This window comes from Homo sapiens, chromosome 11 (assembly GCF_000001405.40).
Source record: "Homo sapiens chromosome 11, GRCh38.p14 Primary Assembly".
In the NCBI taxonomy this organism is placed as follows: Eukaryota; Metazoa; Chordata; class Mammalia; order Primates; family Hominidae; genus Homo; species Homo sapiens.
Genome location: NC_000011.10, coordinates 20,543,777 through 20,560,067, shown reverse-complemented (window position 1 = coordinate 20,560,067; position 16,291 = coordinate 20,543,777). Strand labels below are relative to the sequence as shown.

General features: G+C 46.9%; 1 annotated feature.

Moving 5' to 3' along the window:
- Positions 14,898-15,604: an enhancer, noted in NCBI's record as "NANOG-H3K4me1 hESC enhancer chr11:20566010-20566716 (GRCh37/hg19 assembly coordinates)". NCBI's record gives its function as "activates a minimal SCP1, AML or CMV promoter by ChIP-STARR-seq in primed H9 embryonic stem cells {active_cell/tissue: H9 hESC(primed)}" and the evidence as "EXISTENCE:reporter gene assay evidence [ECO:0000049][PMID:30033119]".

Sequence of the window (16,291 nt, the reverse complement as noted above, 5' to 3'; positions counted from 1 at the left end):
AAATGACTGACTCACACCATTATGAGCAAGTAAAATGATTTTTATTTTAAGCCATTAGGCTTTGGGGTGGTTGGTTATGCAGCAGGTGATAACCAATACGAGGTATATTGGTTGCATTTACAAATCGCAGAGATCAAGGCTATGCTGTTTTAATCTATGTGTCTTTGTTGACTTAGACTTGTTTTTTTTTCTTATTTTTTTATTTTTTTCTTATTTTACTTTAAGTTCTGGGATACATGTGCGGAACATGCAGGTTTGTTACATAGGTATACATGTGCCATGGTGGTTTGCTGCACCTATCAACCCGTCTAGACTTGTTTTTTAAATCTCTTTGTCATTTTAGTGTGGTTTTGGGAAGGAGTAAAAGTAAATATACATTCATCACATTTAACTGGAATGTGGAACTCCATTCACTTCCTCTTCATCTGTCCAACAGATATTTTCTGATTACCTAGTAGATATCAACAGCACTGGATACTTGTAACACAGCTCTCATTTAATCTTTACAGCAGTGCTATGCATTAGGCATTAGATTCCCCTTTTAACAGATGAGACAAATAAGACTCAGTGAGGTTAAGAGACTTGCTAGAGGTCTTGCAATTAGTAAATAGCATTGTTAGAATTTGTGTCCTTGACTGAGTGTCAACAAAGTACCCAATATTTTCAATATACTTTGTTAAACTAGAAAATAGACAGTAGAGATTCTAAAGTTGGAATGGATATAAGACCGATCACATAGTAGACAAGCTGACAGCTGATTGGATATGATGTGAAAAAGAAAGAATGTCTGAGAACTCTACCTCCTATTGATCTGCCTTTGACCCCATCTTAATAATGGATAGCACCACTAATAAAAGGGGACAAGAATGGAATGGACATCTTAACCGGGAAAGACGGAAAATTTGCTTCCAGGGGCTATATTCGATCTTTGTTTTTTTTTTCCTCGTCTGCATCTACAGATCAAGGCTCTGCCGAGCATAGTTGTTAACATTGTTTGTGGTCTCCTTTTACTGGGGAAGATTGGTTGGTACTACTTACAGGACATTTTACCAGGCAAATGGTAGTCTGATTGGGCTCCTCGGTGGGGGTGGGGAGCTGAGCCCTGTGAGACTCAATATGGTTAATGGCTGTCGAATGGTTAAAACACCAGGCACTGCTTAGGAAATATTCCCAGAAGGCCTTTTGCACTCTGTGTAGGGGAAATTAAGTGCTGAGAAAAGTGTGTTCAATTTAGATCCATCTGTTATGGGTTGCTTCTTTCTCTTCTTTTTCTCCAGGAAAGAGGACTATTCAAACAAAGGCACTTTGTGGTCCCTTTAACCTGCTAGGAGCCAAGAGTGTTGCCAGCCAAACATGTCGAGAAGCAGAGAGAAAAACTGTCCCATTTCCAATTGGTAGTAATCCCAGCTCAAAGCAGCATTCATTATCCAAGGTGCTGGCTACCCAGGACATAGAGTTGGGAGGAAAGAAAGGGTGCCTGGTTTGAGAACTTTATTTCTAGAAGAATAAAGTGGCCCTTGCTAGAAAATGGTCTCTTGCAGTACCTTCTAGCAGCAAGTGAACACTAGGAAGCTTTAATAAGAAATGTCACTAGATTCCAAATAAGAAAACCAAAACCGGTCAGGCACAGTGACTCATACCTGTAATCCCAGCAATTTGGGATGCCGAGGTGGGTAGATTACCTGAGGTCAGGAGTTTGAGACCAGCTTGGCCAACATGGTGAAACCCTGTCTCTACCAAAATACAAAAACTAGCCGGGCATGGTAGTGGGCGCCTGTAGTCCCAGCTACTCAGGAGGAGGCTGAGGCACGAGGATCGCTTGAACCCGGGAGGCGGAGGTCGCTGTGAGCCAAGATTTCGCTATTGCACTCCAGCCTGGGTGACAGAGCAAGACTCCATCTCAAAAAAAAAAAAAAAAAAAGAAAGAAAAGAAAAAAGAAAGAAAAGAAAACGCAAACCACAAATTCTAGATTTTCCAAGTGGCCCCAACTTCAAAAACTTGTTCTCAGTATTGGACTATGATTTTGGAGTAGCTAGTCAGTGAATTTATAAACCACATCAGTTATCAATAAAAGACACCTGCCCTGTGGAACCCTATATAGCTGTTACTAAAAACAAGGTAGATAATAATTATTTATTCTTATTAAACATTTAACCAAGTGTCAATCATTGTTCTGTATATTTTTTAGTTTTTCCCTTCCAGTAACCCCATGAGAGGATTGTTATTAGTCTAGTGGTGTGTGTTTTTTTTTTGTTTGTTTGTTTCAGAGACAGGGTCTTGCTCTGTCACCCAGGCTGGAGTGCAATGGCACAATCACGGCTCTCTGCAGCCTCGACTTCCCAGGCTCAAGCAATCCTCCCACCTCAGCCTCCCCAGTAGCTGGGACTACAGGTGCACACCACCACACCTAATTTTTGTGTTTTTTGTAGATATGGGGTTTCACCATGTTTCCCAAACTGGTCTTGAACTCCTGGACTCAAGTGATCCTCCCACCTCAGCCATCCAAAGTGCTGAGATTATAGGTGTGAGCCACCATGTCTGGCCTATCTTACTTTTATAGATAAATATACTAAGGCATATGGAGGTTAGCTAACCTACAAGTTGCTCAAGTCTACAACTAGTAAGTGATAAGGCTTGGGCTTGAACCCGTGTGACCTGCTTTTAGAGCCCACATGACTATCCTAGGTCAGAGGCTACACAACCACCTGGTAGCATGGATGTCTCCAGGGAGAGGAGATACAGAAGAGCAGATGAAAGGTTTTCACTTTTTACTTTACCAAATGCTATACTGTTTGAGTTTTTCTCCTTAAACATGTGTTACTTGTTTGCTTTAAAAATATATAATAAAATAAAGCAAGGCTGGGGAAGATGAGATAGCAATGGAGCATTTTTCTTTTCTTCTTTGCGGTGAATCAGGAGAAGGCACTATCCCCATTATGTTAGCAGTAGGAATTTAAGTACCAGTGAAGTCTAGGCTGAGAGCCAGGAACTAATTGAATTATCTTCAAAATCTCATAAGCCACCAGTAAGCGAATGGGAATATGGACAGGTATAAAACAAGCCCTTAGGACAGAGTAATGGGTTAGATATTAATATGGTTTGGCTGTGTCCCCACCCAAATCTCATCTTGAATTGTAGTTCCCATAATCCCCACATGTTGTGGGAGGGACCCAGTGGGAGGTAATTGAATCATGGGGGTGGTTACCCCCATGTTGCTGTTCTCATGATAGTGAGTGAGTTTTCACATGATCTGACGGTTTTATAAGAGGCTTTTCACCCTTTGCTCAGCACTTCTCTCTCCTGCTGCCTTGTGAAGCATGTTTGCTTCCCCTTCTGTCATGATTGTAAATTTCCTGAGGCCTACCCAGCCAAGCAGAACTGTGAGTTAATTAAACCTCTTTCCTTTATAAATTACCCAGTCTCAGGTAGTTCTTTATAGCAGCATGAGAATGGACTAATACAGTAAATTGGTACTGGGAGTGGGGTGCTGCTATAAGGATACCTGAAATGTGGAAGCAACTTTGGAACTGGGTAACAGGCAGAGGTAGGAAAAGTTTGGAGGGCTCAGAAGAAGACAGGAAAATGTGGGAAAGTTTGGAACTTCCTAGAGGCTTGTTGAATGGCTTTGATCAAAATGCTGATAGTCATATGGACAATGAAGTCCAGGCTGAGGTGGTCTCAGATGGAGATTAGGAACTTGTTGGGAACTGGTATAAAGGTGACTCTTGCCATAGTTTAGCAAAGAGACTAGTGGCATTTTGCTCCTGTACTAGAGATGTGTGGAACTTTGAACTTGAGAGAGATGATTAGGGTATCTAGTGGAAGAAATTTCTAAACAGCAAAGCATTCAAGAGGTGACAGAGCATAAAAGTTTGGAAAATTTGCAGCCTGATGATGCAGTAGCAAAGAAAAACCCGTTTTCTGGGGAGAAATTCAAGCCACTGCAGAAATTTGTATAAGTTACAAGGAGCCAAATGTTAATTGCCAAGACAATGGGGAAAATGTCTCCAGGGCATGTTAGTTACCTTCATGGCAGCTTCTCCTATCACAGGCCCAGAGGCCTAGGAGGGAACAATGGTTTCATGGGCCAGGTCCAGGGCCCCCCTGCTGTGTACAGCCTGAGGACTTAGTGCCCCGCATCCCAGCTGCTCCAGCCATGGCTAAAAGGGACCAATGCACAGCTCAGGCCATTGCTTTAGAGCTGCAAGCCTTGGCAGCTTCCATGTGGTGTCGGTCCTGTGGGTGCACAGACAACAAGAATTGAAGTTTGGGAACCTCTGCCTAGATTTCAGAGGATATATGGAAATGCAGGCAGAAGTCTGCTGCAGGGGTGGATCCCTCATGGAGAACCTCTGCTAGGGTAGTGCAAAAGGGAAATGTGGGGTCAGAGCCCCCACACAGAGTCCCCACTGGGCCACTGCCTAGTGGAGCTGCAAGAAGAGGGCCACTGTCCTCCAGACCCCAGAATGGCAGATCCACCAACAGCTTGCACCATGCACCTGGAAAAGTCTCAGACAGTCAGTGCCAGCCTGTGAAAGCAGCTGGGAATGGGGCTGTACCCTGCAAAGCCATAGGGGCAAAGCTGCCCAAGGCCATGGGAGCTCACTTCTTGCATCAGCTTGAGCTGGATGTGAGACATGAAGTCACAGGAGATCTTTTCGAACTTTAAGGTTTAATGACTGCCTTATTGGATGTCAGACCTACATGGGACCTATTGTTTTGGCTAATTTCTACCATTTGGAACAGGTGTATTTACCCAATGCCTGTACCCCCATTGTATCTAGGAAGTAACTAACTTGCTTTTGATTTCACAGGCTCTTAAGTGGAAGGGTCTTGTCTTATCTCAGATGAGACTTTGGACTTGGACTTTTAGGTTAATGCTGGAATGAGTTAATACTTTGGGGAACTGTTGGAAGGGCATAATTGTGTTTTGAAATGTGAGGACATGAGATTTGGGAGGGGCCACGAGTGGAATGATATAGTTTGGCTCTGTTTCCCCACCCAAATCTCACCTTGAATTGTAATAATCCCCACGTGTCCAGGGTGGGACCAGGTGGAGATAATTGAATCATCGGGGTGGTTTCCCCCATGCTGTTCTCAGGATAGTGAGTGAGTTCTCATGAAGTCTGATGGTTTTATAAGGGGCTTCTCCCTTTGCTCAGCACTCATTCTCCCTTCTGCCGTCTGGTGAAGAGGTGACTTCTGCCATGATTGTAAGTTTCCTGAGGCCTCCTCAGCCATGTGGAACTGTGAATCAATTAAACCTCTTTCCTTTATAAATTACCCAGTCTTTGGTATTTTTTCATAGCAGTTTGAAAATGGACTATTACAGATATCATTGAGACAAATGCAAATTATGAGAGCTCAGATCCTGGAGCACAAGACAAGGTGATAGACAGCTGGAAGAACAGGCAGCTGGATACTAGGAGACCCAGGGTAACTAAAGGAGTAGAATACGGTGAGCTCTTGAAGAAAACAGATGCAAGGCCCCAGGAGGGAGAATGTAAGCACCTATGTTGGCCAGGGAGCCTCTTATGGAGTCCCTGCTGGGTCTTAAAGGTAGATGAAGGTAAGGAGATAGAGGAAGGTAAAGAAGGCATACCTGGCTGAAGCAAAGGAAGGAAGGAAGGGAGGGAGGGAGGGAGGGAGGGAGGGAGGATCCTGACATCTTCACACTGAAAACCATATGACTTTGATGTAGAGTTTCTCCATGCACTATCATCTTGCAAGGTTTTCATTTTAAATATTCCCACATTTGTGAGTGTGCAGGCTTTCCTTTCTGCTTAGTAAGAAAGAAACTTATCAGAGGTGAGGGGATGTGTGGGCAGGATGCTGGCCAGTACACTTATCCATTCCTGCTACCATTCTTCATGTTAACACTTATCACCCTTTAAATGCTTACCTAATTTCTAGATAATAAACTCTGATAATGCAGCATCATCTCCATCTTGCTCCCCACTCTAACCCCACACCTAGCACCAGGCTTGTCACACAGTAGAAAGGCAATAATTATTTGTTGAATTAATTTGTTTGAAGAATTGGTAGGCTGGGCGTGGTGGCTTACTCCTGTAATCCCAGCATTTCAGGAGGCTGAGTTGGAGGATTGCTTGAGCCCAGGCATTTGAAAATAAACTGGGAAACATAGTGGGACACTGTCTCTGCAAAAAATTCAAACATTAGCTGGGTGAGGTGGTATGTGCCTGTAATCCCAGCTTCTTGGGAGGCTGAGTTGGGAGGATTGCTTGAGCCCAGGAGGTTGAGGCTGCAGTGAGCTGGGTTCGTGTCAGTGGACTCCAACCTGGGCAATGGAGCAAGACCCTGTCTCAAGGAGGAGGAGGAGGAAGGAGGAGGAGGAGGAGGGAGAAGAAGAAGGAGAAGGAGAAAGAAAAAGGAGGAAGGAGGAGAAAGAAAAAGAAAGAAGAAGGAGGAGGAGGAGGAAGAGGAAGAAGAAGAAGAAGAAAGAGGAGGAGGAGGGGAGGGGGAGGGAGGAAGAGGGAGGAGGAAGGAGGAGGAAGGAGGAGGAGAAGAGGAGGAGGAAGAGGAAGAGGAAGAAGGAGGAAGAGAAGAGGAAGAAGAATTGGAGAAATAAATGAATACCATTGGGAAAGTTGTTGATGTGTCGTATGCTGAAAATATCAAACTCTTTTTCGGGCTTCAATTAGTAATCCTCTTGATTGTAATACAGTTTTGATTGCTAGCATTTATTGATGACTTATATGTGCTTTTTATGTTTTAAGTAAAAGGAAGCCCCTCTCAAATTTTGCTTAAAATGTTCATGGACAGGGTAAAGTTTGATCAGGGCTCTGACTTGGCTTCCCTGTAATTCAGCTCCACCCAGTTCCATGTGTTGGCTTTCCTTAGGCTGGATTTACTCATGGATTCAAAATGGCTGCTGGTTGTAACTGGTGCCACACAATTCCTCGTTCACATTTAGGGGAGGCACAGGGATGGAGAGCTCTACCATCAAACAATATCTACCATCAAATAACTTTTTTTGAGACTCTGTCTCACTCTGCCACCCAGGCTGGAGTACGGTGGTGCAATCATGGCTCACTGCAGCCTTAACCTCCTGGGCTCAAGCAATACTCCCAGCTAAGCCTCCCAAGTAGCTGGAACTATAGGTGCATGCCATCATGCTGGCTAGGTTTTTTTTGTACTTTTTATAGAGACAAGGTCTTACTTTGTTTCCTAGGCTGGTCTCAAATTTTTGGCCTCAAGTGATTCCCCACTTTGCCCTCTTAAAGTGCCAGAGTTACTTACAGGCATGAGGCACCACACCCAGCCCCATCAAAGAAATTTCTGAACTTTACTCTGACCAAAGCAAACTGAACCAACCAGGAGAAATTCACATGTTGATTGGCATAGCCTAGGTAACTCATCCCTCGACCAATCAGTGTAGCAACAGGGCTGGTGTTATCCTAATTGATTGGATCAACCATGGCCTATTTCTGGAGTTTGGGATGCAGGCTTTTCTAACCAAATTACATGGCTGCTTTCAAATGGAGGAAGAGATGAATAGATGTTGAAAAGCCAAATGAATGTCCATTCATTTAATCCTCACAACACGCTGTGAATTAGATCCCAGGGAGAGGTGAGAAAAATGACCTCAGAGAAGCAACTTGCTCAAGATCAGGCAGCTAGTAATTAGCAACATTGGGATCCAAACTCAGGTCTGTCTGACTTCAAAGTCTATGCACTTGGCCTCTAGACTCCAGTGCCCCAAATCTCAGCTATTGTATGAATCTCTCCAGTTGCCTCCAAGAGAAACCTGTTCTTGTGATCACCCCTAGCTGTTCTAGGGAACAACCTGGGCTCAGGTTGAACTCCTTTAAAAAGGGTCAAGGACCCTCCACAAAGCCCAGGCTGTGAGATCAGCTTCAGAGGCCTGGGGACGCCAGCCTTAATTTGGGGAGCAGCAAACACCTGCTTGGGGACTAAGAGGTTGCTGTAAAACCAGGACAGACAGTCCCTGTTCTTCTATCAGTGGTCATTCATCAAGCAGTTACTGAGCATCTGCTCTCTGAGGACCCATCTGCCTGAGCTAAAGCCTGAAACTCTTTCCAGTGTCCTTGTCTAGTCTTCCATTTTTGTCTGTTTCTTTGTCATGCACCCCTTCTTCTCTTCTCCTGGGCTGAACTTTCTGGACTAATGTTGGTTCTTTGTCTCAGACCTGCACCCAGCTTTTTCCAGCACCCCAGGATAGTAACTGTTTCTCTTCTGCAAATTTCAGTTAATTGACAACGTCTGCCTTAAGAAGGAGGCAGTTTGTATCCAGTCTCAGATGGGAAGTGCACTATTGTCAACAATCAATGTCTACCGTGGGGACCATCAGTATCTACCATGGGGAGGAGAGGTTGAACCGCAGCCTGCATAGTGGGTATCTGACATCCTTGGGTCCATATACCCACCACAGCTTCATATTTGGGACCCTTAGAACGGCTGCCCCCATTGCTTGAATTCCCTGAGAGTGACATTCATGTGTCAGCATAATACCAACAAGTTCTGGCCTCCTGCCTGTCTTTTCCAGAATTCTGAATGAGATTGAGCTGTTTACATGCTATAACCAGAATGATGAAGAAGTCTGGAGATGAAGAAAAGAGTGAAAAGGCCTGGAATGGGCTGAGGAACTCTGGACTGTGATTTAGGATGTCTGGGTTCAATCCTGCTAAACCCTAGCTCACTCTGTGACACTCGGCAAGTTTCCTTTCACTTGGTCTCAGTTTCCTTATGTGATGCTAGGCTACCTCAGGGATTCTCAGTGGGGGAGAAACCATTTCCCGGGAGGTGATCTGGAAAGTTATGGGGGCATTTTACAGTGTCCCAATGACTGGAGGTTGTTTCTGGCATTTACTGGGCAGGGGCAGGGCTGTTAGATAACCTGTAATACACAGGACAGTCCCCCACAGTGAAAAACCATCCCACATCCTGCACAACTGTCACATGTCCTCCTGGATACTCATGTAGATGAAAAACTTGTTCATAATTGTCTGACTCCAGTCAGATAAAAACTAGCTCTGCTTTAAATAGGAACACAAGTTGTTTTTGCACCGTACCAGTGTGTGTTGAACTTTTGAAAATGGAATTACCACATAAATCAAAAGAAATCCACATCTTTTAAAAACAGTTTTATCGAAGTATGACTTATATGCCAGAAAATTAATTCATTTTTTCAGTGATATCAATTCAGTTTGTGTTTATTCAATTCAGTGATTTTGGTAAATTTGATGGAGTTGGGCATGTATCATCAAAATCCAGCTTCAGAACAGTTCCTTCCTTCCAACAAGTTTCCTTATACCAGTTTGCTGTCAATTATCACTCCCACCCCAAGCCCCAGGCAACCACTGATTTGCTTACTGTTTCTGTAGATCTGTCTTTTCTAGAAATTTTACATATAAAGAATCATACAATATATAGTCTTTTGTATTTCTCTCCTTTCACTTAGCATCCTGTTTTTTAAGATTCATCCACATTGTACCATGGATTATAGTTTGTTTCTTTTTATTGCTGAATAATATTCCATAGCAGTAAACCACATTTTGTTTATCCATTTATCAGCTTGATGGACATTTGAATTGTTGCTAGGTTTTGGCTCTTAGGAATTTGGCTGCTATGAATATTCCTATACAAGTCTTTGAGAGGACATATATTTCATTTCACTTGGGCATATACTTAGAAGCAGGATTGCTGAATTATTTATTTTTTTTTAAGTCAAGAGTTGTTTAAACTCTTTTGGAACTCATTTTGGAAAATCAACATTGCTCATGGTATCTGAATCAGCAATATAATGCTCCTGTATACATGTGCATGGGGAGTGCTACTGGTCACAGTCATAGACATAGAATCACATATGCATCAGTATATCAATGCATATTCTATGCATAGGTAGAGTATGTGATTCTGTGTGTAAGTATATCCATGATTCTATGCATAGGTAAAGCATGCAGTTCTATGTGTAAGTATATCCATGATTCTGTGCATAGGTATAGTATGTGGTTCTATGTGTAAGTATATCCATGATTCTACACATAGGTACAGTATGTGGTTCTATATGTAAGTATATCCATGATTCTATGCATAGGTGTAGCATGTGGTTCTATGTGTAAGTATATCCATCATTTTATGCACAGGTATAGCACGTGGTTCTATGTGTAGGTATATCCATGATTCTACACATAGGTATAGCATGTGGTTCTATGTGTAAGTATATCCATGATTCTATGCATAGGTGTAGCATGTGGTTCTATGTGTAGGTATATCCATGATTCTACACATAGGTATAGCACGTGGTTCTATGTGTAGGTATATCCATGATTCTACGCATAGGTGTAGCATGTGGTTCTATGTGTAAGTATATCCATGATTCTATGTGTAGGTGTAGACTTCTGAGTACTTCATTATGTCTCTAGTTAGGATGTAATCAAACATTTCTGTATTTTTTTTTTTTTAATTTTTTTTTTTATTGATCATTCTTGGGTGTTTCTCGCAGAGGGGGATTTGGCAGGGTCATAGGACAACAGTGGAGGGAAGGTCAGCAGATAAACAAGTGAACAAAGGTCTCTGGTTTTCCTAGGCAGAGGACCCTGCGGCCTTCCGCAGTGTTTGTGTCCCTGGGTACTTAAGATTAGGGAGTGGTGATGACTCTTAACGAGCATGCTGCCTTCAAGCATCTGTTTAACAAAGCACATCTTGCACCGCCCTTAATCCATTTAACCCTGAGTGGACACAGCACATGTTTCAGAGAGCACAGGGTTGGGGATAAGGTCACAGATCAACAGGATCCCAAGGCAGAAGAATTTTTCTTAGTACAGAACAAAATGAAAAGTCTCCCATGTCTACTTCTATCCACACAGACCCCGCAACCATCCGATTTCTCAATTTTTTCCCCACCCTTCCCGCCTTTCTATTCCACAAAACCGCCATTGTCATCATGGCCCATCCCCAATGAGCCGCTGGGCACACCTCCCAGACGGGGTCGTGGCCGGGCAGAGGGGCTCCTCACTTCCCAGTAGGGGCGGCCGGGCAGAAGCGCCCCTCACCTCCCGGATGGGGCGGCTGGCCGGGCAGAGGGGTCCTCACTTCCCAGTAGGGGCGGCCGGGCAGAGGCGCCCCTCACCTCCCGGATGGGGCGGCCGGCCGGGCGGGGGGCTGACCCCCCCACCTCCCTCCCGGACAGGGCGGCTGGCCGACCCCCCCCCCGCCTCCCTCCCGGACGGGGCGGCTGGCCGGGCAGAGGGGCTCCTCACTTCCCAGTAGGGGCGGCCGGGCAGAGGCGCCCCTCACCTCCCGGACGGGGCGGCTGGCCGGGCGGGGGGCTGACCCCCCCCACCTCCCTCCTGGACGGGGCGGCTGGCCGGGCAGAGGGGCTCCTCACTTCCCAGTAGGGGCGGCCGGGCAGAGGAGCCCCTCACCTCCCGGACGGGGCGGCTGGCCGGGCGGGGGTTGACCCCCCCCACCTCCCTCCCGGACGGGGTGGCTGCCGGGCGGAGACGCTCCTCACTTTCCAGACGGGGTGGCTGCCAGGCGGAGGGGCTCCTCACTTCCCAGACGGGGCGGTTGCTAGGCAGAGGGTTTCCTCACTTCTCAGACGGGGCGGCCGGGCAGAGACGCTCCTCACCTCCCAGACAGGGTTGCGGCCCAGCAGAGGCGCTCCTCACATCCCAGACAGGGCGGCGGGGCAGAGGTGCTCCCCACATCTCAGACGATGGGCTGCCGGGCAGAGACGCTCCTCACTTCCTAGATGGGATGGCGGCGGGGAAGAGGCGCTCCTCGCTTCCTAGATGGGATGGCGGCCGGGCAGAGACGCTCCTCACTTTCCAGACTGGGCAGCCAGGCAGAGGGGCTCCTCACATCCCAGACGATGGGGGGCCAGGCAGAGACGCTCCTCACTTCCCAGACGGGGTGGCGGCTGGGCAGAGGCTGCAATCTCGGCACTTTGGGGGGGCCAAGGCAGGCGGGTGGGAGGTGGTTTTAGCGAGCCGAGATCACGCCACTGCACTCCAGCCTGGGCACCATTGAGCACTGAGTGAACGAGACTCCGTCTGCAATCCCGGCACCTCGGGAGGCTGAGGCTGGCGGATCACTCGCGGTTAGGAGCTGGAGACCAGCCCGGCCAACACAGCAAAACCCCGTCTCCACCAAAAAAAAAACGAAAACCAGTCAGGCCTGGCGACGCGCGCCTGCAATCGCAGGCACTCGGCAGGCTGAGGCAGGAGAATCAGGCAGGGAGGTTGCAGTGAGCCGAGATGGCAGCAGTACCGTCCAGCTTTGGCTCGGCATCAGAGGGAGACCGTGGAGAGAGGGAGGGAGAGGGAGAGAGGGAGGGAGAGGGAGAGGGAGAGAGGGAGGGAGAGGGAGAGGGAGAGGGAGAGAGGGAGGGAGAGGGAGAGGGAGAGGGAGAGGGAGAGGGAGAGGGAGAGACAGAGACATTTCTGTATTAAAATATGTATTTTGTAATAGATTCTTCTTATGTCTCCTATATAATGTACTAAGAACATTATAATGATTTTTAAAATCATGTGCATAAGTGGCTTATATTATTTATGAATTCAATTTCAGGATAGTAAAAAGGATATTAAAAAATATTTTTTATGTAATAGAAAAGGAGCCTTGAGACAGAGTAGGAGGGGCTGGTCCATTTTAAGGACCTGACACCTGTGAGTTTTTAAATCCTGTGCTCAGAGGCTTAATTAGAAAGGCAACCATTAATCCAGATTTGAAGCCAACAGCAAATCAAAGCAATTGTCCTGCACCAGTTGTTTTGATCATCAGATTGTGGCCCAGTTCTTTTAGGCCAGGATCAGAGAGACTGTGAGGAATAAACAAACCTAAGAGAACCATCGAGAAAATGTACAGGAAGAGCTTCCAATTCTATCACTCAGCCTTGATTTCAGAGTGAATCACGGCACAGACTCACAGATTGACCCAGCAGGCCGGACCTTGAGAGACCCATGGAGTCCAGCCCCACATTCTTCAAATGCAGAAAGGGAGGCCTGGAAAAGGGGGTGGTGGGGACTGGGGAACTGAGGCAGCCACATAGCCAGACCAGGTCTCAAGGATCCTGGGGGCCTGATAATTAGATGCCTCTTCAGTCAAACATTCTGTGCCATTTAAAGATAAGACTGAGCCCTGTGAGGGAAAGGCTGAGATGGAAAATTCTGCAGGGTCCAGCTTCTCACCTTCCTTGCCCAAGCTGTCAGCTCTGGCCCAGACTTTCCTACCTCCCCTCCAATTAACCTGATCGACATTCCCAGGTCAGGGGGCAGTGCTTACCTGCTGTTACTCAAGCAAAACATGTTTGGAAGGTCTCACCACCTCCACCCACTTCAAGTGGTTTACCCAAGTAGGCCTGTGTCCTTTCCCCTAGCGGAGTCTTGGAAAAAGAAATTATCTCTGTCCCATTACATTTCACTGGCACTTTCTTGTCCCTTCTTGGAGGGATTGGAGCCAGTTGATTTGCCCTTTGATCAGGTGTTATACCCTCTCTGGTCAGGTTCTTCCCACTCTCTGGGCTTCCCAGGCAGTTAAAGAAAAGAGGAGCATTATCAGAGCAGTCAATCTCACCCTGAGAGATCAGGCCATGCAGGAAGCTGTGGTGTGGTGACCGCGCGTGGCCCTGTGGCCCTCCGTAGACCACCTGTAAATCATTTGAGGACAGGGAACCCAGAGGTTGAGCTCAGCATCCCCCATAGGGCCCCCCAACCGGAGGGAGGCTGGAATGAGGTGGGAATCAGTGTTTGGGGTTGATGTCACCCCCAGGCGAGGTCATTATAGCACTCTGGCTTTTAGTTTGGAGATTTCTCTTCTTTTTAAACTCAGACCTTGACAATTCGTTTGTGCAAGCGCTAGTTATCTGCAAAGGAAGTGGCCTTCCAAAGGGGCCACTTGTGCCCACAGTGGTCCTCTGAGCCCAAGCAACTGGCTGCAGTGCTGCGTGTTTTGGCCAGGGACCTAGGCAGGACGATGGCCGCGCCTCACCTTGCCTGGGCGCACGGGGATCAGGTGGTCAATCCAGCAGTCTTGTGAATGCTCCAGGGGACCTGGTGGGCAGCCTAGAGAGGAATCCTGGTGAGCATAAGAGGAGGTAGATGGGAAAGAGGAGAAAGCAGGCAGACTCAGAGAAAGAGAGGGAGCAAGGAGACGAGAAAAAGGGGGAAACAGACTGGAAGACACAGAAATGTGGAGAGGGATAGGGAATGGGGTGAGGAAGGGAAGAAAGGGAAAAAAGAGAAAAGCAGAGGAGGAGGAAAGAGGGAAGGAGACAAAGACAAGATAGGGGAGAGGGAGCCTACGGGGAAGGGCAGAGGAAGGGCGGAGGCGGAGGGAGGAGCATGAGGAAGAGGACAGAGAAAAGGCCTGGGGTATTTCTGCCAGGGCCTGGCCCTCTGTGGAGAAGGCCTCCTTTCCTGAAAAAACGGCCACTTTTCTCTGTACCAGTCCCATCTTCTGCATGCCACCCACATGCCAGGCCAACCTGCCTTCCAAGGCTGTGGACAATCCCAGGGCTGGGGGCTCGTCTCCATTCTTTGCAAGAACCGTGGAAGATTAAAGGCCTCTGAGAAGGGGACCTGGCTGGGGCCTCAGCGTCCTCTCACAGGCCAAGGTGCTAACTAGGTGTTATCTGGAGGGGCACCGAGATCCAGTGTGCCCAGGTGCTCACAGAGAGGTGAGTGTACCCACACAGAGGCCCAGCTGCCTGTATGGAGCCCAGGTAGCCAAACAGAACTCATGAGGCCTGCACAGCAGGCTGAATGTTCACAGACTCGGGCACTCACATGCATTCCCACACAGGTGCATTCTGTACCACAGGCTGGAGGCCTGGGTGCCCATACCAAAAGAAGCTGGCAGTTCTTGCTGAGGGCTGGGCATTGACCTTCCTGATCCCCACGGTAAGCTCCAAAGCTGGACAGTGGTTTCTGAGTTATGAGCAGACATTTGGGTGTTTCTCTGCAGCCTGCATTGGGCCTGGGCTCGAGAGTAGCATCTAGTGTGGGCAGGAAGAGGAGGGCTGTGAGAGGCAAGCACCAAGGCAGCACAGGCTCTGACATCAGGACCAGCCTGCTGGAAAGGCCATGCCTGAACAATTTGTCGTCTCCTACTGCTCACTACATTCCCAGAGTCATATTCTTGTGTTTATGATGGAGGAATCTCTGGCTGTGGAACGATTACTATGTTGCAAACAAAGCGTTATGGCTGGAGGTGAGAGGAAAAACAAATAGCATGCACTTTGAAATCTGGCTTCCTTAGGGCTTCTGCAGCAAATTTCTCAGGTGTAGAGCAATCGGGAGCTCCAGGGGCCTGCTGGGAAGCTGCTGGATTACAGACATTTACAAAAGAAAAAGGAAAAAACCAGTCAGCCTGGCTTAGATAAGAGCAGCACATCTAGCCCCGGGAAGCCAGGAGTATGTGCCTTGCAAGCAAATAACAGTGTCTGCCTGAGCGTAAGAAAAGCTGAATTCAGGGCTTTGAAAAATGAAATGATCATTCTCCTTGCTTTTAAGAAATCGAGCAAGAAACTATGAGGTTATTTTTGACTTGGTTATTTGCTTCTGCTGATTAAGCACAGAGTTTGCACCCAGGTGGATTGCATGGAGAAGGCAAGGCAGGATAGCCAGAGGTCATGAGCACAGGTCTTAGAGTCAAATTGCCTGTATTTGCATCTGGCCTCTCAGCCTCCTGTCTTTACTGTAACCCTCTGAGCCTCAGTTTCTCATCTGAAGCTTCATAGAGGTGTTGTGAGGATTAAATGAGATCCATGGAAAGAACAGGGCCAGGCGTATGTTAAGTATCCCATCAAACGTCAGTGGTTACTAAGCACTTAACTACAGTTTGCATATGTGGCACCTAATTTATGAATTAGCTCATTTTTATAATAGAGTGGTAGGATTTTGTCACTGTGTACTGGCAAAGTCGCCCAACTTCTTTCCCTTCATTGTGCACTAACATGGACAGAGCCATTCTTTTCCTGTAGAGCCGAGCCTCATTTCAAGATGGGCTTCTATTCCAAAAAATGTTAAATTGGGCAAGATCAAAATAAATCATCTTGCCCAGACCATTTACTTTTTATTAAGTGTACAACTTCATGGTTTTTTAAAAGTATATTTACAGAGTTGATTAACCATTGCCATAGTCTAATTTTGGATCATGTTCATTCCCCTCCAGAGGAAACCCTGTACCTATTAGCAGTCATTCCCCATTTTCCCCAACCCTTCTTCCCAAGCCTTCGGCAACTGCCCATCCAATTTCCATCTCTAAGGATTTTCTGATTCTGAATATTTTGTGAAAACTGTATCA